This window comes from Homo sapiens, chromosome 14, assembly GCF_000001405.40.
Source record: "Homo sapiens chromosome 14, GRCh38.p14 Primary Assembly".
Lineage (NCBI taxonomy): Eukaryota > Metazoa > Chordata > Mammalia > Primates > Hominidae > Homo > Homo sapiens.
Window position 1 is genome coordinate 56,952,076 of NC_000014.9, and position 22,230 is coordinate 56,974,305.

The following is a 22,230-nucleotide window of genomic DNA, read 5'->3' on the forward strand; positions in this document are numbered from 1 at the left end:
ATCCCAATGGAGGATAATTTGAATTGATGGTTTTTTTTTTTTTTTTTGAGTGTCAGTTCTCATCTGACTTTTTAAACCCTGTTGAAATCAATTATTCTTGCTATTATAATAATCGTCTTGATTTTGCATGTTTTATCAATGAATACTGTTCATTTCAACTCACTGCTGCCCTTATTTAGGCAACTTACGATTTTTGAATGCATGGGTCTAAATTCAGGCTTTTCAGCCTTGAGATAACTAGAGATGTCACCCAACAAGCTAAGCCTCAATGTTCCTGCCACATACTAACCAAAATGATGGTGTCCTCCCAATGGCACTATCTTTATTTTTCTCAACAGACACAAGTGACTCTGCTTATGACAAACTGTACATCAGAAAAGACAGATCTCTATGATGTGGGCGGGCAACATAATTTAAGATTCTGCAGGCTTATGGTCAGCCCATTATTTTAAGGATAAGAAACGTAAAAGGAAAAGTTGGTTCAAGGCATCCTGATACTGCTCATTAACTGGGAGACAGAAAGGAATAAAACAGGACTTCTCTGATTATTTTAGGTCCCCTCCCGGATTTCCCTGCTCCACGCCCCTCCCCCGGTTAGACATTTACACTGAAAAAGAAAGGCACTTTGTGTTTAAGGTTAATCAAGTTTCAGTAAATTTTTTTTTTTTTTTTTTTTTTTTACAAACTAGAATCACACTAATCTTTTTTTCTTGCTCTAATGTGTGGCTGTTGAAATCCTCAGCTGTGATAAATTAAGCTACTTATTAATCTAATTATCGTACATTCATCCTAGAAACTTTCATGTGACTTGAAAAGGCTATTCAACCTTTTCCCTCCCCTCCTAGAAAGGGCTCAACCTTGCACCAATTAAGATCATTCTGAAGTAAGGGTTTAAAAAAGCTTTCTCTAATCACCCAATGGAACATGGACCAGTGGAAACCAAACTCAGAGCTCTGGGAAAAAGTTTAGCATTCCTTTCTGTCTGCCAACTTTTATGGTTTCATTGCACAAGGGAGGAAGACTACATTTTCCTATTTAGTTGTTCCTTCACTGACCTCCAAATAAAGTCCATGTAATTACAGACCAAATAAAGTTGCAGCATGTGTTTTAAAAATCAATTGCCATCCTTGGACTATAGAAATGTAACAATGCACAGATTTGCCAGAAAATACCCAGCGCAAACCATACGAACTAAACCCTGCACTGTATCTGTACAATGAGTAGTTTTGACCCCTAAAGCATGTATTTACTATGCAGATTTTTAAAAGGGCTTCTTTTATGACTTAACTATTGATATTAAAATGTCTCCATCCTAATATAAGTTCAATTTGGGATTAAAAATATGTTGCAAATGTATCATATCTTAAACATCCATTCATTGCCAAATGCCTTACTTCTTTTTTTTTTTAAATGATGGCATAAATGGAGCTATTTTACATTCAAATTAAACTAGCTATTAATTTGAATGCAAAGCAGCTCAATGTACAGGATGCAATTTCAATGACAGGTTTACTCCAAGATAGAAAGCAGGAGATAGTCAACATGGGTAAGTCCAAGCAGTTCGTCCCCTACTCTTGGTGCCTGGCAAACTTGCTCACTGTGAATAGTTTTTGAAGTGAAGATTAAAAGAGTGGAATTATAAAGTATAATTACATTTTATTGAAACTCTAGAAATCAGAAAAAATTCAGCAGGAAACTTTTAGTGAAACATGATGTGTTGTCATTATCATTAAAAGATAAAAGTTCCATACTGTTTTTATCTGTTTATTTGGAAGAAATCCAGCCTTTACAGTTATGCAGGAAACAAAAAACGGGAATGCAGGAGTAATTATTAAAACTGTGTGATTTGTTATCTCAGCTACTGTCTTTCCAAATGGTAATGCGATATCAGCAGCTGCAGACGGTTGCTGATTTCCTCTATTAGTAAACAAGTGCTTTGGAGACCTGTGTGAGGCACTTTAAGCTCGCTACTCCCCGAAGTGCTGTCAGGCTTAACTACTAATCCATGGTATTTCAGAGCACTGGAAATTCATCTTTATAAAACCTGAACAAAAAAGGGAAAAAAGCCTGGAGGGCATGAGCTCCCTCTGGTGAGACAAATGACATGTTCATTTATTAATGAAACAATAACCCTGGAAAAAGGATCAAAGCACATTCCATCCTCACTTTACAATCCCCAATTTTCTCAGGCCAAACCATTTAATTGAGCCATGACAATGGAATACTTAATTGTTACCTTAAAGTTTTGAAGAAGCGACTTCTTGAGCATCAATGTGAATTTCAGGATTATTATTCAAATATGGTGTAGCCAGATTAAAGATGGTGGAATTTGATTCCTCCTCCACTGGGCGGGGGAGCCTCTAGCTGGCAGAAGAGGTGTTTTCTTGAACATGCTTGCAGTGCCCATCTCAGATGTCCCTTGCCTAATGGCTGCCTTCATAGGTTGCTTCCTTGTGATGGGTTCCTTCCTCATGATGAATTCAGGTTCTTTTTGCCATGTCCCCTGGATCTGGGACATAAATGAGGAACAGGAAGGAGTCAATCCCAGAACCCAGAAGTTTAAGGAGTTTGAGACAATGCAACATGGAGCCCCTTATTAAGTCTTGACAGGCCCATAGCATCCACAATGGTAATGGGCAACACCTACACTCCCTCTGGGTTATTCACCAATTGTATTTGAGAGTGAGTCCATCCACCAAAAACAAACACATATGTAAATTTTTTTTAAAAAAATTGAAAGGTCTGGGTTTAATTTCAGTATATTAACTCGATTTCATATCAGAATTCTAGTTTGACATTTTTTGTTCGTACTTGTACAGTGGCTTTTCTGGGGTTTACTTGACTATGTTATTTTCCAAATTAACCAAACTTTCAGGAGAGTCTTAAGACACTGAGGTGGGGGGATTCGGAAGATGCTTGTTGATTTACTGGGCAAAGAAGGGAGTGAAGATTTTATATGTAATCTCTAGGACTCATATGTCTTATACACTTCAAGCATTCTAGGCCAGCTTGACTCTAGGGCCAATTTTCTATCACATGGCATCATCTGGAGTTTATAAATGGACTTTTAGTGTGCATGTGCTCATATTCATTCCTTAGGAGATTCATTAATCCAATGAAAACTAGTAGTCAGAAATGAAGGCTGTAAGCAAGAAAAATGCTCATGTTTCTGAGTTCTAGAACATCACCTATCTTATTAAGCCTTACTGTGAAATGGAGAATGTACTTTGAGTTGATTTTCATTACCTTTACCTAGGATCTTTCTTTCTGGTCTGCTTTTGAATACCAGTCTTATAAAAGTCTTTTTTTTTGCCCTAGCTTATTAGACTTACGGGTAAATACTGGAGTTATGAGTATGTTTATATTACATTTTAGTCAAGTTCCTGGGAAAGAGGGAAGAGAGTCTTTATAAATAATTTTTTGTAATAAGACTAACATTTTGAAAAGCTTCCATTTAGCTTGGCCTCTTTGTAGTAAAGTTTTCTGCAGTATAATTGTTTGCAGTGCATACAGGGGAGTGATGGTGATTCAAAGTATTTAGTACATACAGCTTTACCTGAGCCCTTCAGGAGAACAGAGAACCCTCTAAATCGACAATCATAGCACTGCCTGGCCTAAGAGCCAAAGGGAGTTTGAAATGGCAAGTATGCACCTGAAGCAGCAGAAACAGTTATTTTTTCAACCTTCCCCTTATCTTCCATCCCTAAATACAGAGCATTTATTTTAAAAAATACACACATAGGAAGGGTTCATGGGCTTGGTATGTAAGCATTCAAACTGCCATGACATTGATGACCGAACTAGGTTTCACATAAGCCAGAGCTGAGACAGAGTAACAGACATTTACATCTGCTGACAGATGTATTTCCACTCTCCATATGCACATTCCACTCATATTTATGTCATTCATTCATTCATTCAATCAGCTGTCCATTAGTCACTTCGTGACGATTGAGGCTCTATTCCATATGCATCATAACATAACAAAATATATAGCTGGGGTTATATGTATTTCAGTAAGATACATGGAAACTGCAAATGTATGTAGGATAGGAAACAGAGCAGGGTAGGAGATAAATAACATAAAGACGGGGGCATATTTCTTCTTTGACACTATTTTAATAAGGGGCAAAGACCGTTTGGTGTGTGTCTGTTGAATGTGTGATGGAAGTATTTATTCAACAGCATCTATCAAGCAACTGCCACATCTCATGTACTGTGTGGAATACTTATACCAAAAAAGAGTGCTGTCTCTGCCTCTCTGGATCTTCCATTCAACAGTCTGGCTGGGTGCACATGATATGCATACACAAAATAATTAATGCAAGGTGGATGACTAGGCTCCAGATTGAAGGGTATAGATAGCAACTACAAAATGAATTGTAAATTTTGAATAATTATGGGTTTCTTGATGTGGTTAAAGAGGATCGTCTGAAAGTTGAGGCTTAGTCTTCTTACCTCCCATTTTGCTGAGAAGTATGTACTCTGGGAAGGAAGGATGACAAGAGGCACACAAACAGGTGCATACATTCACCTTTTGGCCCTTCTCATCTCCCACCCTTATGAACTTTGTTCCTTGAAGGGAGAAACAAGCTCATTATTAAGAGTTAGTGTAATGTTTGATCATCTTTACTATCTGTCATAGCAGATACATAAACTGATATTCCTGCTATAATGGTGAATAACCCTATTCTTTAAAGTTGCAAGATGGAAGATTACTGACATACTTAGTAGGAATTTAAATTAGATGAAATACATATGTATATAGGGTTACATGAAAACCTTTAATACGAACTAAGAGCTGAAAAAAGCTGTGGTGTTCCTTGTCTCCTCCGCTGCCCAAGTAACAAAAAAATGAAAACAGTACTAAACTACGGATATGTAAGGAGGAGTAAAGATATAATTTTTTTCTGTCATGACTACTTAGAATTAATTTGGGATTACTAGGATTTCTCAAAATATTAATGATAGAATCTAGAATATTTTCTCTTACGTTTCCTGGTGTGTCCGGTGTGCTAATAATGGGTAATCCTACACCATTTTTGCATCAGAATATAAGATGGGGCTGTTTGTCTCTTCTACCTTTTACTAATAAATTAACTATCTGAATGTCGTGCTATGAATTCCAGTTCTATTTTCTTTCTATTTTCCCAAATTCTGTTGCTAGCATAGAGGATCTCTAATAACATACTAACCAGTTTTACTTCAGGGCAATTATTTCTTTTCAGTATTCTGAGGTCTGTTTAAGTTCTCCCAAATGTAACACAGGGATAAGGAATAAGTATTTTCTCTCTAGGTTCTCCTTGGCCCATTTTCATTTTATCGCATGCCAAAAGGAGCTTATAGTGAAGAATACTTAGAAAATATCTAAATGATTCTGAGTAAACTGTTTCAAGTAAGGCCATGGCTCTTTAAGTTACACACTAAAAAAAAAAAAAAAAAAAAAAGAAAAGAAAAATAAAGATTCTTCTTGAAAAAAAAATATACAAAAGACGATGTTGGGCTTAGTGTCTACTACTTGTTTATTGAACTTAATAAAGAAAGGAATGGTAGCTCAGTAATTGCTAAAATAATTAGTTGTCAATATATAATAAAGTCAAATGATAAAACCTAACACAAATCATTTATGATAAAACCTAACACAAATCATTTATTTTCTTATTCTCTGAGGTTGAGTATTACATTTAATGTTACTAAAAATTATGTAATATGTAAAATAAAATGTCTTAAAACTTAAATGTTACATCATTTCATACAACGTATGTTTAATAAGAAAAATTTTAATTAATAATTACTTTTTTCTACTTAAGATTTATCCTTTCCTAATATCTAAGGTATTATATATAATAATTTTTAAAGTTCCTATTATATTTTTAAATCAAGCAGTAACTCATAAACAAATACTTCTCTTCCCATTTACTCTTGTTCTCTTCATTCCACTGGACACAAGATTTTATTATAAAAATAAGTTAATTTCGTTGAGTGTATATACATGATGACATAATAGTATCAATATTAAGATAACACACCAAATACACACAAAATAATGTATATCTCCTGCTTGAGTAATTTCTGATTGCATTACAGCATGTACTTGTGTAGGCACTGTGCTTATATCAGGAGTGAACAATAGGCGATGGTGTAACTGCTGGGCACAGATATCAACGTGTTCTCAGCTTTGGGGAAACAAAATGGCTCCCGTGATCTATTTATGTGGAATGCAGAGGACAGTTTATATCACTTTAATTAGCTGAAATATCAAATGTATTGATCATTTTGAAATTTGTTGCTATATTTCTAAAATGCAGGTGGCTTACCTAACATGATAAACACTGGATGTTACTGTATTTGTTTGTTTATTTGCATATTTATGTCTATCTTAGTGATGAAAAAGTCCTAGAAGATCTTCAAAAAGACAATATATTTCAGCAGAGAGGCAAACATTACACATTTTTAATCACCAAAAGCAGATCTAGCCACAGAACTGGGTCTTGAAGCTGCTTCCCACAGCCCTCTGCAGCTAGGGATGGCCTCCAGGAGGACCAGCCTTAGGAAGGTGAAGGGTGCCTCAGGAGCACCCCTGCCCAATTCAACAACAAGAAAAAAAATGAGAGCTGATGAATAAAATGGAAAATAACTTTCCCAGACAAGAGAGAAAACACTTGGCATTCCTGAGGAACAGCTGCTTGCTGGTAGAAGTTTATGATAATAAACTAAACTGGGTGAGCATTTCCCGAGAAGAAATATTTAATTATCCTGCTCACCATTATGAGGAACTTCTGCCACTCTTCAGGTTATTATACAGTAAATAACCATTTTTCTAAAGGACAGAGCTGTTTTAATTATATGACAATGAATGCATAATTATTATGTTTGTTAGGAATGAATCACAACAGACTTGATATTGCTGCTCTGGTTAGTGCATCTTAATTACTTTTTCATTTATTTTGCATATAAAAGCGATTTGCTAATTGTCTTTGCTGTAAATATGCAAAATATAATTAGTCATTCATAATTCTTTATGTGTTATCTAACTGTACATTTGTTTCTAAGGAACATATATTAAAGTGTGAATATTTAATGGGCTTTTTTGTGTGAATTCTTTTTTTTTTAGACAAAGTTTTGAGTAAATATTAGGCACATTAGAATTTTAACTCTATTCTTAGAGAAACTTGTGCTGTGAAAAAATGGAGACCAAAAAATATGGAGTTATGAAGTGAATGCCAGACTGTGTGGAATTTAAACATATTTTCATGTGAAGACACAGATGGTGATGGGAAATATCCTTTACTAAGCCTTTAAATTAACCTTTTAGCTACTCACCCAAGCTACCCAGATAAATCTTTAAGCATTACCAATTTTAAGTTTTTACATATTTGTGTGGATACTTACCAGGAGAGAAGAAATCCATGGTTGTGCTGAAACATGCATTTTTAAGTGCTCCAAATAACTTGCTGGCAAACACTCTTGAAACTCTAAAATCTTAATTATGAGGACTATATCAAATCTATGTAATGGGAAGTATTTGAGAAGGTTATTTTTAATAGTTCATCAGTGACTATAATGAGGGTGTCATGGGGTAAACCCCTCATGAGGTTTCTTGCAGTCATATTGCCATCTCAAAAGTGAACCATACTGGCCAGTTTCTCAGTCTTAGGATGTAATTTTCTTTTTCTTTTTTTTTTTTTTTATTAGCTAGACACAGACACAGCACTCAGACTAGTTTTTTCTATAATTATTACTTCTATATGAACTAACATTGCTGGGAACATCTTAATGCACTCAGATTCATTACAGTGACTGGTTAAATGGACCACTTGTTTTCAAAATGGTACAGATATCAGGAGCATTGACCAATGATTAAAATTTTTCTTTTCACTTGTCTCCATAAAATCCTGCTAGTCCATCCTGCTGATGCATGTCACATTCCACTTTCTTCACCTCAAACATTTGATTTACTAACTGGTTGCTGGTTGTACTGTTAATCCCATGTCATGACACTTCTATTCACTTCTGCTTTTCAACTGAAAGCAGCTTCCTATGAAGATAAAGCTAGGTAAAATCTATTGTAAAGAGGAGAATAACTTGAATGCAGCTATCATATCAAAATGAAAACACACTTCTGCTCTCTTCACCCACTAGACATCCTGAATACTTTTCTTAATGATGGAGTCTAATAGGATAGCTGATGAAAATACAGCTGATGATAATTTTTTTTCTTCAGAAATAATCCTGCTCTGTTATTCTGTAATTGTTCTTATTTATGTTTGACAAATCTTTTGAAAGGAACATATATAAAAACAGAGTGATGGCAGGGTGTGAATTAGAAAAGAACTAGTAAACATGCTTTAGAAAACTATGATATTAATAAATTATATTGATTCCTATTTATCACAAAACTATCCTGAAGCAGCTTTAAATAAAGCTTTTTAAAACAACATTTGCAGGAACTATAACTTATATGGTTTTCTTTGTTTTTATTGTGAGATTTTCTTTTGGATTCTGTAAATTTTTTCTTTTGGTTTCAGAATAGCCAAAAAAAGTGAAATATGTATTTCAAATAACATTTGACTTGTGTGCAAAAGTTGTAGAGCTAACACGCTCTCTACTAAAATCCCAATCTTTAAAACTTGGTGTCCTATAGTGAAACAATTTAGTTCAATAAGGTAGTGAAATGAAGACTATTGTGTAAAAAGATAATAATTTCATCGTATCATCTGAAATAGTGAAATACACATCCTTGAATCCCTTTAATAGGAAACGTTTCATATATTTTATGTGTGTATCCATAGCATTAAGACGGTTTGCAAATTAAATTTCCATTTGTATTTTCAAACACCTTCAGTTTTAATAAGAAGAAGCATAAAAAATTATTTTATTTGTAATTCTTGTAAGCTTCCACATTCTTCAGTGATCCAAATGTATAGGAATGATCAGGAAATTTACTGTGTTATTTGAAATGTAACTAAATGTTCTAAAGAACAACAGGCAACAGGCCTCAGGTACAAAAAAAAATCTAATTTTTCACCTTAGCAAAAAAAAAATTTTTGATGATATTGTGTGGCATGCAAACATTTAAAACATTGGAAAATTCTAGACTTGCCTCCGGTGGTGGTGAGGATCACTATCTGTCCTCCTTTACAAGAAGTTTGAGAGAGTAATCACTTGAGGGGCTTTTGGTCTTTTAAAAATAATCCTTATCAAGCACCTATTTCACAAAGAATCATGTCAGAATAATAAACACAGTCTTCCCGGTAGCATTATGCAGCATAAAATTCAGAAGAATGTAAATGTGAAGGACTGATAGTGAATAGATGCTAGGAAAGTAAAAGCTATAAAAGCTTTCTCTCAGCGTGTTGACTAAAAAATTCATAGTCCTTTGTATTTTTCAACATCCTAGATATTTTTACATAGAATGTTCCAAAATATATGTTAATTAAAAGCCATCTTTACAAGATCTAAGAAAGAAAACATCCCTATCTAAATTGTTCTGAATTGTATATTGTGGAAAGGAACCATCCCATTGGCCTTAGTCAATTAACTATAGGCTCTCAATGCTCATAACTTAAATGTTAAAACACTCAAGGGAAGGGAATGGGAAATGGCCCATGGAAATGTTTTAATCATGTTTATAAACCTATGGAGATAGTAAATAAAAATTCTTAAAGTGAAAACCCTTAAGACATTCCTGGAGGAAATACTTTACATCTAATGCCATCTGACTGTTAAGAGGATCTGTGTGTGTGAGTGTGTGTGTGTGCATATACACACATATTATATACATACACACATATGTATATGTGTATATATGTGTGTATACTGCATACACAAATATATGTGTGTATATATAATATATATACACATAATTTAACAGATTCACACACACATACATATATTGTGTGTATACACATACACATTTTATACATATATACACATCTATGTATTCTAACCTCCCTTATGGAGAGAGATGATTCAATCTAAATCTATCAAATAATGAAATATCCCAATGGCAATCAGCGTGACTTTCATGAACTCTGTCCCTTTATTTCCACATTTTTTGTTAATTAGAATTTGAAGTCAGGAGATAAGAGACTAGTTCATTTATCTTTTTTCTTTCAATGTCCAAGCTCTACTTCCTTTCACTTCCTCTCCAAAAACGTTGCAACCTTTTACAGTCTAATCAACTTCTGTTACATGGTGCCATTATTTATCCCCTGAAAAATGGTCTCAGCTGATCATCTGAAGAGCCAAACCTAAAAAGTCCTACTTTCTAGAAATAAAAATAGTGTCTTCTCTGGTTTCAGACAAAGTCTTTGGGCTGGGGGAAAATTATCTGCCTAAGAAAAAACAAACACTCTTTCTACTCTGTGTTTGTGTTTGCATGGATCAATTGTGAGACAAACAACATTCATCGACAGTTGCTGGCCATGAGTCTGCCTGTTTGAAATACCTTAGTCAGGAGAAGTACCACAAACTGAACCGAACAATCTCTCACAAAACATCTGCAACCATCTGACCCTGGCCTTAACCTTTAAATCTATCTTTTCATATTCATCTCAAAAGACCTTGTCAATGGCCAAGGAGACTCAAGAAAAGGATTCTTCAACAAACAAAAAAGATACAGAGGAAATTCAACCCAGATTAGGTGGCAGAAGATAATACAGTTTGCTCATTTTTATTCTGCTGCTCAAACTGGAGTTGAATTCATTTTCACTTTATCTTTATTCATGTTATTTAAACATAACATTCATTAGGATTGTGAACTGCAACAGATAGAAGAGAACAAAACTACTCGCCAAATTTGTTGGGCATCTGTTCCCACTAGAGGCGGCCCCTTGCCAGCTCCACATCATGTCATTTTTTTTCCCTGAATTCATTTCAAAGTCAATCCATCAGTTTATGAACTGTTTGATCAAACTTGTCATTAACCAAGTGAAACATTTAATTTGTATTAACAAAAATGGGACAAATAATTAGTACAGGGATTAACCATTTCACTTTTTTCCCCCTGCATTTTATTTATCAAACCTGTTCATTGTTGATATAACTTTTTCATGTGACACTGTATGGTTTCTCCTGAAATAATGGAAAACATTTTCAAAAAATGAAAATACTTATGAACCGATGGTCATTAAAAAAAATCCATGCAAATAGGTAGATCTAACAGCCACCACCAGTAACTGCTAATTTCTAGTTGCTGTCTTCATTAAGATAGAGCATAAGTTTCTCAATGGCAAAGAGACTGTGAGCCAACAGGCTGAAGACTTGCAAGGAAATTACCACAGCTATATTAAGTATCAACAGAGATTTTATTTTTATTTTTTGAATAAAACTAAAATTTCATTTTGGTTTCCAGTCATACTCAACAAATGGCATAAGCAACTTACCACAAACAGCTCGCCTCCTCTCTATATTTGCTTGCAATGTTTATTTCAGTTTTTCCAGCCCAAATTGCTATTTATATAACACACGCACTAGAAATAGAACCAACGCTGTTGGTGGAGACTCTTGCTCTTGGGAAGACTTAGTCATCATCTCGTGCAATTGCTGTGACCGTGACCTCACTGGGCATTTGTCGGCATAGCTATGACATTTGTTAATGAACTGTTTTTGTTTTTAATTGCTTACTTAATTATGGAGCACCAACATAATAGCATTTCTAATTTGTACCATAATTGCATGCAGAGATGAAATGTTGTTGTCTATCATATGCTGCTTCTAATCATCTCTTGTTCATGACAAATTTTCCAAAGAGATATCTTCTTTAATATGATGATATGGTACTAGTCATTTGAAATGCACTTCCCTTAAATGCAATTGTGTATGTAAACTAACTTCAGACTCTCTCAATCTCTTTCTTTCTCTCACTGAGTATATATAAAATTACATATGTAAGTGTATATAAAGTTACTTAAATGTGTTCTATTTTCAATAAGATAAAGTACACAAACATGAAAAAATACCTCCTCTGGCCTACATACCAAACATTAAAATATTTGACAATATCTATGACCATACCAATTTTAAAGAATTTATTATAAAAATAGTTATTTTAAACTGCATGAGTTCTCCTCACTATTTCATTAACATTACTGCTGCTGTATAGAATGTTCAAGATTCTACGTGCTTTGTGAATCAGTTTTCAGTATGCTTCAAATCCATCAAGGGAAAATGAGGGCCATGATTCTTCCAAATGGAATCATTAACTAAGTTTGAAAGCTCAGAGAATTAAACCAAGTTTGTCATGACCTCAGTTTGAAAAATTCAGAGAATTAAACTGAGTCTCTTGTGAGACAGAGAACAAGTAGAAACTAGGCTTCAGAAAGGAAGTAATAGTAGAGGCCACTGAAGTAAGTCACCATTGACCTATGTCCCTCTCAATGAAGTTTCTTCTTTACAGTTAGTTCCTGCAGAAAAATATATTCAGTGCAATATATTAGTTATGGGTCCAACAGCACAGTTCAAAACATGTGTAGCTGATGTATGTTTTCCCCCAAAAATACAAGTATTGGGCCGTTCATTGTCATCTACACAAAGAACTGAGTCCTAAAATCCTTTACTCAACTAAATTCTTAATAAGTAAACTGAGACTAACCCTCTAATACCAGATTTGTTAAACAACATGATTTAGGTCCTTGCTATTCATGCACCTTGTACAACTAAAATGACTGGTAAAGCTAGAATCATGAAAGAGTCATTTTATGTAGCTGCTAAATTCCTCTCAAATCTCCTTGCAACTTAACGAGTAAAGAAAGCTCAATGTGTAATGCCGGCTAATGTGGTTTATGCTAGAAAATAGTATCAACCTATCTTTGTAGCTTATCTAAGCCAGGATAATACTTTTAGCCTTTATAGTAGACCCAACTCCATTTTTTCAACTCTTGACTATGTATTTCCTGAAATCCTTTTCCAAAGAGTTAAATTGGATGTGAAATCTGTACTAGGCTATGGAGCTGTCTTTGTTCTAAGTCTCGCCAGCAAAGCCTCGCCTCTGTATCACTTTCATTGCGTTCTGATTGAGCTTGACAGTGTGACAGGAAAGCAAAGGGAGGCAATTCCAAACTGAATGAGAGTCTTTTTCAGCCACACAGCAGCCTTCTCCTTAGCCCCTAAGAAAAAGAGGTAACAGATGCCGATAGCAAAGCATCCCTAACAAAGTCTTAACTTTGATGCAGGCAGAAGAAGAAAAAAATGTAAAAGATTGTCTCAGCGCAGGAAAACCTTGAATGGAACACAAAGGAAGCAAAATGAGAAAAATCGTGGTTCAGAAAATGGCTGGGAGAGTTATGTAGCTATCGTGCGTTTAAGAAATTATTTTAGTCTCAACAAGAGGTTAGGATCTGCAGAATCTGCTCTGCCAGGTATGGCACAACTGGAATAGTTGCAATATATGGGGCCCGAGCAAAAGGTGATCAGTGATGCTGTGATTGCTTGGCATGGAGGATGTTCATGATGAATGCCCTGTCCCTTGGGTGGAAAGTAAAACTCCATTGAAATGACAACTTTATAGTATAGCCATTACCTTTGTACTCTGGGGAGTAGATCTTTTCTGATTGAAAGAAGTGTTCAGTGGCTATTATAATTTTATACTTTGATAAGTTCTGTAATTAAGTGGATTGGAGCATCATTACATTATACTGCTTTATATTCGGAGGGATCTGCACCTGGCCTCATCAAAGAGTGTCTTCTGAGGTACGTTGATCTCTACAAGTGAACTATGTTAGTTGCATGACAAAAATGTATTGTAAGATATAAGCACTGAGAACATACTTATACTCATTTCTCTTATACTAGTTTCTCTTATTAAGAAAATGATTTAAAATATCAATATCTGTGCAATGCTTCTTAATCCTTGTGGCAAAAACATGAATCAGAGTAGAAAAGATCTGTCCAACTGGACCAGGGCATTGCTAATGCTCATGTAGTTCTGAGCCCATTGCTAAGATAAAGACTGAGAAACACAAGTGACTCTCTTGAATCTGCATGCAAGCCCTCGGGCTAGAATATAAGATTCTGAGAGTTTGTAGAAATAACTCACTGCTTTAGTAGTAGGAGTGGAGACACAGATAGAGGGAGAACAGTGTCTCATAGCGCTCTTGTTTGTATTTGTCTTCATGTATTTTCAGAGATTTAAAAACTCCAAAATTAATATGATATAAAGATTGCTATAATCTATCATGTAAAATAGTGGGGAGCATTTAAACGAAGAATTCCTTCCTTGATAATCCTCAGTGGCTGATGTGCTTGGTAAAGCTCTGTGAATTCAGAGCTCAGTGACATGATAAACGTCCCCTAAGGAGTCCTTATTGGCTATCGTGGTATCTATACGCTGGTGGGGTGGCAGTATAAATAATACAAGCACTAGGTCTTATTAGAGGCTAAACCTAGGCAAGAACCTGGTTCACTATGCTGAACACTTTTGGGGGGTATACTAATATCACAGGGGATTTTTATATTACATATTTCGTTGCATTCTTTTTTCTCTGGAAATTTTATGACTATTTTTTCTCTTAAATATGATCACGCTGCTTTGATCTCAGGTAAAAATGTTTCAATTGCATACCTATGCCAGGTATTAATAAAAGGTCAGATAGAGTCCATGGAAATAAAGCTTGAGCCAGGAATATAGAGCAAAAGATAGTTGGAGCAGTGCTAAAGCTATCTGCATGTTTTGCTAGAATTATGGTTGAAAACGTACAAAAGATAAAAGAGATGGAAAACATCATGAGAATAACCTGGAGCTTCGGAACTCCTAGTTTAACTTATAAATGATTATCTATTCATCTATGCTAAAATAATATATGTATATAGTTTAATTGATAATTATATGTTGAGTGTAAATATTGTAATTAACATGCACAGATGCATAACTCATATATGGAATACTCTTGCAGATTAACATGTATGTATATACAACTTCTCATATACTTAAAATGCTAGGAAATTAACAGTGACTTGAATCCTTCCTGTCATACTCATATACAGGTTATACTATTATGTTTTCCAGATAATTAATGTCCTCTGTCTATATTTAATATGATGTGATTTCCTTTAGAGATAGCTAATGAGATAAAACAGGCACTATGAACCAGTTAAATCAACCACCTAATCTTACACATGAAACATTAAACAGAGAGGAGGCATCTGCAATTAGCAAATTGCTTTGATGTGACTAAATATCTGGCTGTCTGCATCACCAACGTTGTAGGTCTAAGTCCCAGATGAAGCTGCTGATCTAGACGTGCTGAATGTAAATATAATGAGCACGCATTTTCTCATGTAGCTCACTTTTTGAGGATGGCAGTTCTATTGGACTCCAGGGAGCTCAGGGGGCTGTGGACAAGGTATGGAGGTGAGAGAGGAACAGAGAAAAGCAATCCCACTCTCCATCAGAAAGATCCTTATTTCTTTCCCGAAAAAGAGACAACAGATAGAAGACATTTTCAATATGTAGAAGGCTGTTGCATTACTTAATAAAACGCCAAAAATGCAGACCTGGTTAAGTGATGGCAATGATCTTATCCGAAGAGCGGATCTAGTCATTGGGCAAATCTAACATACACCTGACTGATGCCAGCAGAAAAACTCACACTCAACATCTTTGCTGTCTGCTTGAAAAAATTACAGTGTTTACCCAGGATGTGGATGGAAGAACACATCTCTTTCCCAACAGCATAGATGTAGCTGTGGGCAAAGCCAGGCAAGGGCCAGGCATGTGAGGAGGGTCTATGCACTTATAAGGAGGTGTGACGTTCTTCTTCAGTGTGATGGGATGCTATCGAGAGGCCTTGAGAAGGGAAATGGCATTGGTTGATTTACGTTTTTGAAAGACCAACCTGGAGAAGTATGAAGACTGGTGGAAGAGAAAAACCAGGACATCAATTAGGAAACTGCAGAAATAAAGAAGAAAGCTTCAACATTTAAATACTTATTTAGGAAAATAATGTTAATTTTTAAAATTAACTATGTGCTTGCTCCCGTTCTAAGTGCTTTACATGTGTCACCTCATTTAATTGTCAAAAAACACGTGGAGACATTATTTTTTATCACTCCCAATGAACGGATAAAGAAACTGAGGCAGAGAAAGATTTATCACTTGGTTCACAGTCTCACCGTGCAAGACGGCAGCACTGGGATATCAATGCAGACAATCTGACCCACACTTCCTACCCCCCGCACCCCAACTGCCTCAAGGACACATAACTTGAGATGATCATGGTTAGAAAAAGAAAAGGAGGCCCAGCATGGTGGCTCACGTGTGTCATCCCAGCACTTTGGGAGGCTAAGGCACGAGGATCAACTGAGGCCAGAAGTTCAAGACCAGCCTGGGCAACATAGCAAGACCCCCATCTCTTCTAAAATTTTTTTAAAATTAGGCAGGCATGATGGTGCATACTTGTAGTCCTAACTACTTGGGAGGCTGAAGTAGGAGGATTGCCTGAGCCCCAGAATTCAAGGGTAAGTGAGCTATGATTGTGCCACTGCACTTGGTGACAGAAAGAGACCTTGTCTCTAAAAAAATTAAAATTAAAATTTAAAAAAGAGTGATGTAATGGGAAGAAACAACAACTAAGACATGTGCATTTGAAAACCAGTTGGATTTATTGGGAAACTGATCACGATGATCAGATATTGAATGTGAACAGTTTTAGGTGTGAGCACTAGTGGGAAAATGAACCCCATTAAGAGATTTGGGAGGAAAAGGAAGTGACGGCCTAAGCCACTGGCATTTGACTGATGGAAAACTAGAGAACAGTGCCTAGGTTCCAGGCATGTTCTTGAGTGTCATTTTATTTAATTTCCTTAGCAACACTGGGAGGTAAATGTTACAGCCCCATTCTTAAAAATTTTATTACACTTTGTCTTTTACAGGAGTTTTAGGTTTACAGAAAAATCGCACAGAAAGTATAAAAAGTTTTTCTTTTTTTTTTTTTGTGAAATGGAGTTTCACTCTGTCGCCCAGGCTGGAGTGCAATGGCTTGATCTTAGCTCACTGCAACCCCCGCCTCCTGGGTTCAAGCAATTCTCCTGTCTCAGCCTCCCAAGTATCTGGGACTACAGGTGCATGTCACCATGCCTGGCTAATTTTTTTTTTTTTTTTTTGAGATGGAGTCTCACTCTGTTGCCAGGCTGGAGTGCAGTGGTGCGGTCTTAGCTCACTGCAACCTCTGCCTCCTGGGTTCAAGTGATTCTCCTGCCTCAGCCTCCCAAGTAGCTGGGATTACAGGCAAACGCCACCATGCCCGGCTAATTTTTTTATTTTTAGTAGAGATGGGGTTTCACCATGTTGGCCAGGATGGTCTTGAACTCCTGACCTCGTGAACCACCCACCTCTGCCTCCCAAAATGTTGGGATTACTGGTGTGAGCCACCACGCCTGGCCTAATTTTTGTATATTTAGTAGAGATGGGGTTTCACCATATTGGCCAGGCTAGTCTCGAGCTCCTGACCTCGTGATCCTCCCACCTTGGCCTCCCAAAGTACTGGGATTACAGGTGTGAGCCACCGCACCCGGCCAAAAGTTTTTCTGAAACTATGCTTTGCCCATCATATTCTTCCTCAAACTGGTAAAAATTAGCCATTTCTCTAATTAATAAATGGGCAAAATAGTCTGAATAACCTCGCTCTGAATTTCCCAACATAAGAATGATGCAATATTTCTTTAGTTACCTGGTCCAGAAACTTAGAATTATCCTTAGGTCCTTCCCTCAGGCTACCTTCACTCCTCCATTGAATAAGTCACAAAGTCCTATTAATTCTACTTCCTAAATAACTACATTTTTCTCTATACCCACTGCAATTCATTGTTCAACAAATATTAATTAAGCACCTACCATGTCCTAAAGCACTGTGCTATGCACTGGGGTTGGGTTATACTGGTGAACAAAACAGATGGAGTCCCTGTCCTCATAGAGCTTACAATCTAGTGGGAGAGAGAGATGATAAACAAGGCTATCTGAAGGAACAATCTAGGGAGTGATAGAGCAATGAAGATGAAGCAGAGGGTGACAGGAAGGTAGTACGTTAGATAGGATGGCAAGGCGTGGCCTCTGCAGAGTGGACATTTTCACAGGAAAACATGAAGTATGTGAAGGGTGAGCCATCTGAAGATCTAGGAGAAGCACTCTGGCAGAGAGAAAAGAAATTCCAAGGATCTGAGGCAAGAAAGAGCTTCTAGAAGGCTGGTGTGTCTAGAGCGGAGAGAGAGGGAAGTGATGAGGTCAGAGAGCTAGGCAGGGGCCATGAATTCTGGGAGGGTCTATGCACGTGTAAGGAGGTGGGATGTTTTTCTTTAGTGAGATGGGATGCTATTGGGAGGCCTTGAGAAGGGGAATGGCATGAGTTGATTTACATTTTTGAAAGACCAGCCTGACTGCAGTGTGGAGAAGATCACTGGAAGAGAAAAACCAGGACATTGATTAGGAAGCTGCAGAAATCCGGGCAGGTGGTGAAGAAGCTGATTGCTGCACAGGTGGCAAGAAGCGATCAGATTCAGAGTGTGTTTTGAAGGCAGTCAGTAGGATTTGCAGATAGATGGAGGGGCTTTTAGGGAGGAAAAGGGAACTATCACAATGACCCCTATGTATTTAGCCTGAGCCAAATGCCTCAATATAATTATAAAATGATTCATCTTTTTGCCATTCAGGGAGAAGGATGATCTATCCTTCTCATATAGTGAGTTTCCTTGTAAATTTGGATTTATTTCTGGATTTTGGGCTCTGTTACTTTGATCTATTGCTGGACCATGATCACACTTTTAATTCCTAATTAAAAATTCATTAAAATTACCAATTTAGATTCAATTTATATATTATAAATTTATAATATAGATACATATTTTAATAAAATTAATTTTCTAATATTCTTATTTCACAACTCTGCTTTGGTTATTCTCACATGCTAATTCTACAGATAAACTTTAGAATCATTTTTGTCACGTTTCTCAAAAAAGGCCTATTAGGAATTTGTTTTTGTTTTATTTATTTATTTATTTTTCAAGACAGGGGCCTCACTATGTTACCCAAGCTGGTCTTGAACTCCTGGGCCTGCCTTGCGCCTCCCAAAGTGCTGGGATTACAAGTGTGAGCCACCGTGCCCAGCCAGGAATTTATTTTTGTATTATATTTATCGTTTAGTGAGTTTTGCTGTTTTTCTTTCTTTTCTTTTTTTTTTTTTTTTTTTTTTTTTTTTTTGAGACAGGTTCTCTTGTAGCCCAGGCTGGAGTGCAGTGGCATGATCTCTGCTCAGTGCAACCTCTGCCTCCCAGATTCAAGCAATTGTCCCACCTCAGCCTTCCAAGTAGCTGGGATTACAGGTGCCTATCACCATGCCTGGCTAATTTTTGTATTTTTAGTAAAGACGGTGTTTTGCCATGTTGGCCAGGCTGATCTTGAACTCCTGACCTCAAGTGATCTGCCTGCCTCAGCCTCCCAAAGTGCTAGGGTTATAGGCATGAGCCAGTGTGCCTGGCCTATAATTTAGTCTGTAATGACATTTTAAGTTTTTCTTTTCACACTTATCAGTGTCCTCTGTATGTTTTATTTGTTTGTTTGTTTTTGGGATAGGACCTTTCTATGTTGCCCAGGCTGGTCTCAAACTCCTGGGCTGGGCTCAAGTGGTCCTCCTACCGCAGCCTCTCAAGTAGCTGGGATTACAGGTATGAACCACCATGTCCTCTAAAGGGGTTGATGTGCTCGCTGTAGGGTTTTATAACTTCCTTAATATAAAGCAGACACATTTCTGGTTTTTATTTTTGTGTGTGTGAATAGGAAACTACTTCATAAGTTTAAATTTTTTAACTAGTTTTTATAGGCAAATGAGAAAGTTATTACTTGTGTTCATATTTTAACCAGATAATCTACTAAATTCTCTTAAATTTCTAGTAGTTTTTCAGTTGATTCACTTGGGTTTTTAAAAACTATAATCTTTATAATCTGCAAATAATGACACTTCTGCCTCTTCCTACCCAATATTTATGCTTCTTATCTCATTCTCTCATCTAATTACATTGGTGAGCACTTCCAGAACAATCATTAAATAACTGTGGTGATAACAAGTACTCTCGTCTTGTTCCTGACTTTAATGAGACTACTTCTAGTTTTTCACCATTAAGTGCTGTACTGGCTGTTAGTTTGTGATACACAGATAAATATATGTTTTTAAAATATGGCTTAAAAAGTTTTTTTTTTAAGTTTTATTCTATTACCACTATAGTTATATCTTTTAAAAAGTTAAGATTTTTTATTTTTGTTTGCAAATATTGAAATCATCCTGTGGTTCAAATTCTCTGATCTATTTATATAGTAAAATCTCTTAACAAATTTTATATTATTATTTATATTGTGAAACTCCTCAGAAGTCTGGAATTACCCCCATTTGGTATTTTGAAATCTTATTCATTAGTCAGATTAGCCTGTAGTTTTTGTTTGTTTCTGTGCCATTGTGGCAAACCTCTAGCATCACTGTTTTACTGCCTTTGTAAGAAGAATTATTTCCTTTAACTCTGATATAATTAAATGATTTAATTATTTCAGTCCATGGAAAGCCTGGTCCTGGCCTTTGAGTTGTACTTCCTTGACCAGTTTGTGGTGGCTAGATAGGTTTTCTATCAGTTAAAAAAAAAAAGAGGGCCGGGCGCAGTGGCTCATGCCTGTAATCCCAGCACTTTGGGGGCCGAGGTGGGTGGATCACAAGGTCAGGAGTTCGAGACCAGCCTGGCCAACATGGTGAAACCCCGTCTTTACTAAAAATACAACAAAATTACCCAGGTGTGGTGGTGGACACCTGTAATCCCAGCTACATGGGAGGCTGAGGCAAGGAGAATCGCTTGAACCAGGAGACAGAGGTTGCAGTGAGCCAAGATCACGCCATTGCACTCCAGACTGGGTAGCAGTGCAAGACTCCATTTCAAAATGAAAAAAGAAATCTAGTTTTGTAGACTTATATTGTCTTAGGAAATGGTCCATTTTACTCAGATTTTGATATTAGCATAGATGATAAGAAATATTTAATATTTTACATAAAGTTGGGGTTTGCTTTCTTTTAAGTTTATTTGGATGTTCATATCATTTACATTTATTGTTATAGCATATGTTTGACCTTATGTCAGTCTTTGTATTACATATTTTATGAGTTTAATACTTTCTTTCCACCTTCTTTGTTACTACTGTCTTTGTAAGAGTAGAGATTGTTTATTTAGAAGTCTAAACATTTAAAAATCAAAACTTTTCTACCAGTCCAACTCTTATGGTGGTGCAACTCAAACAATGTAGGCAAGATGGAAAGGTTATGATGAATGAGAAATAGTTTCTAGTTGTTCCATGTTGTAAAACATTTCATACATTTTATTTAAAAATGGTGATTTGTTACTAAGCAGAAAATGCTCTGTAGGTACATTCTGAGAAAGAAATTTGAGAAAAAAAAATGACTAGCAAGGACAAGCAGATACCTCTTTCCAAAATAGCTTGTTACTTCATCTGTTCTCTTCTGGTTTGCAAAAGTTGTTACAACATATCCTGATAATGAGTGATTTTTGCCACTATATGAAGATCAACGAGAATTTCTTGGTGAATGTAACTTTTATATATTTATATGCTTGCATTATATTCCTATCTCCTTCCCTACATTTTTAAGGAAATGTGAGTGCATTTCACAAAGGAATTAAGTAAAACACATTTATTATGTTTATAGTGCACAATGCTAGCTTTTATAGGTAAGCCCGATGTTTTAAACTGATGCAAAATTATGACAAGCGATTTAATATTCAATTCTTTGGCATGATATATTATTTATAATAAAAAGATATTCAAAGTATATACATTTTTAAAGACTATTTATTTCTTAACTTGACTTATTTCCTTTATTATATACTACATTTATATACTCAAATTTGTTCTTTGATTACCCAGCTCTTTTGGAAGGTACATATGTATACTGTCATTAATCTGAACAGGTTAAGTCCTTGGAATTCCGGATAAAAGATCTCCTACTGTAAGTAATCAGTGTTTCCACCCCTTTAGCCCTCCTCCAACCAGCCCTACCAGCATTATATTATTGAATGCAGACACTGTTTTTTATTCTATTAGCAGTGAATTTTACAACTTGTAATAATGTACGTATGCCTATATTTCTCAATTATCAATTTAAAAAATTAAAATTTCTATTAGTCCTTTGTTGAAGATGAGGAAATTTGCTCAGTTTACATCTTTTTTTTTTTTCTTTTTCTTTTTAG

The 22,230-nt window shown here is 36.0% G+C and overlaps 1 long non-coding RNA gene across 1 annotated transcript in view, besides 2 other annotated features; it reads right to left on the reverse strand.

Annotated features, from left to right (window-relative positions):
- Positions 215-2,652: an enhancer, noted in NCBI's record as "VISTA enhancer hs1150". NCBI's record gives its function as "enhancer in: eye[8/9]" and the evidence as "EXISTENCE:transgenic organism evidence [ECO:0001131][PMID:17130149]".
- Positions 1,749-22,230, reverse strand: part of LOC124903323 (uncharacterized) — a 63,861-nt gene continuing 43,379 nt past the window's right edge. Inside the window, exon 2 of the long non-coding RNA XR_007064191.1 lies at positions 1,749-2,509. This is a non-coding gene — a long non-coding RNA (uncharacterized LOC124903323). The remainder of the gene's footprint in view (positions 2,510-22,230) is intronic.
- Positions 12,094-13,553: an enhancer, noted in NCBI's record as "VISTA enhancer hs1218". NCBI's record gives its function as "enhancer in: midbrain (mesencephalon)[7/7]" and the evidence as "EXISTENCE:transgenic organism evidence [ECO:0001131][PMID:17130149]".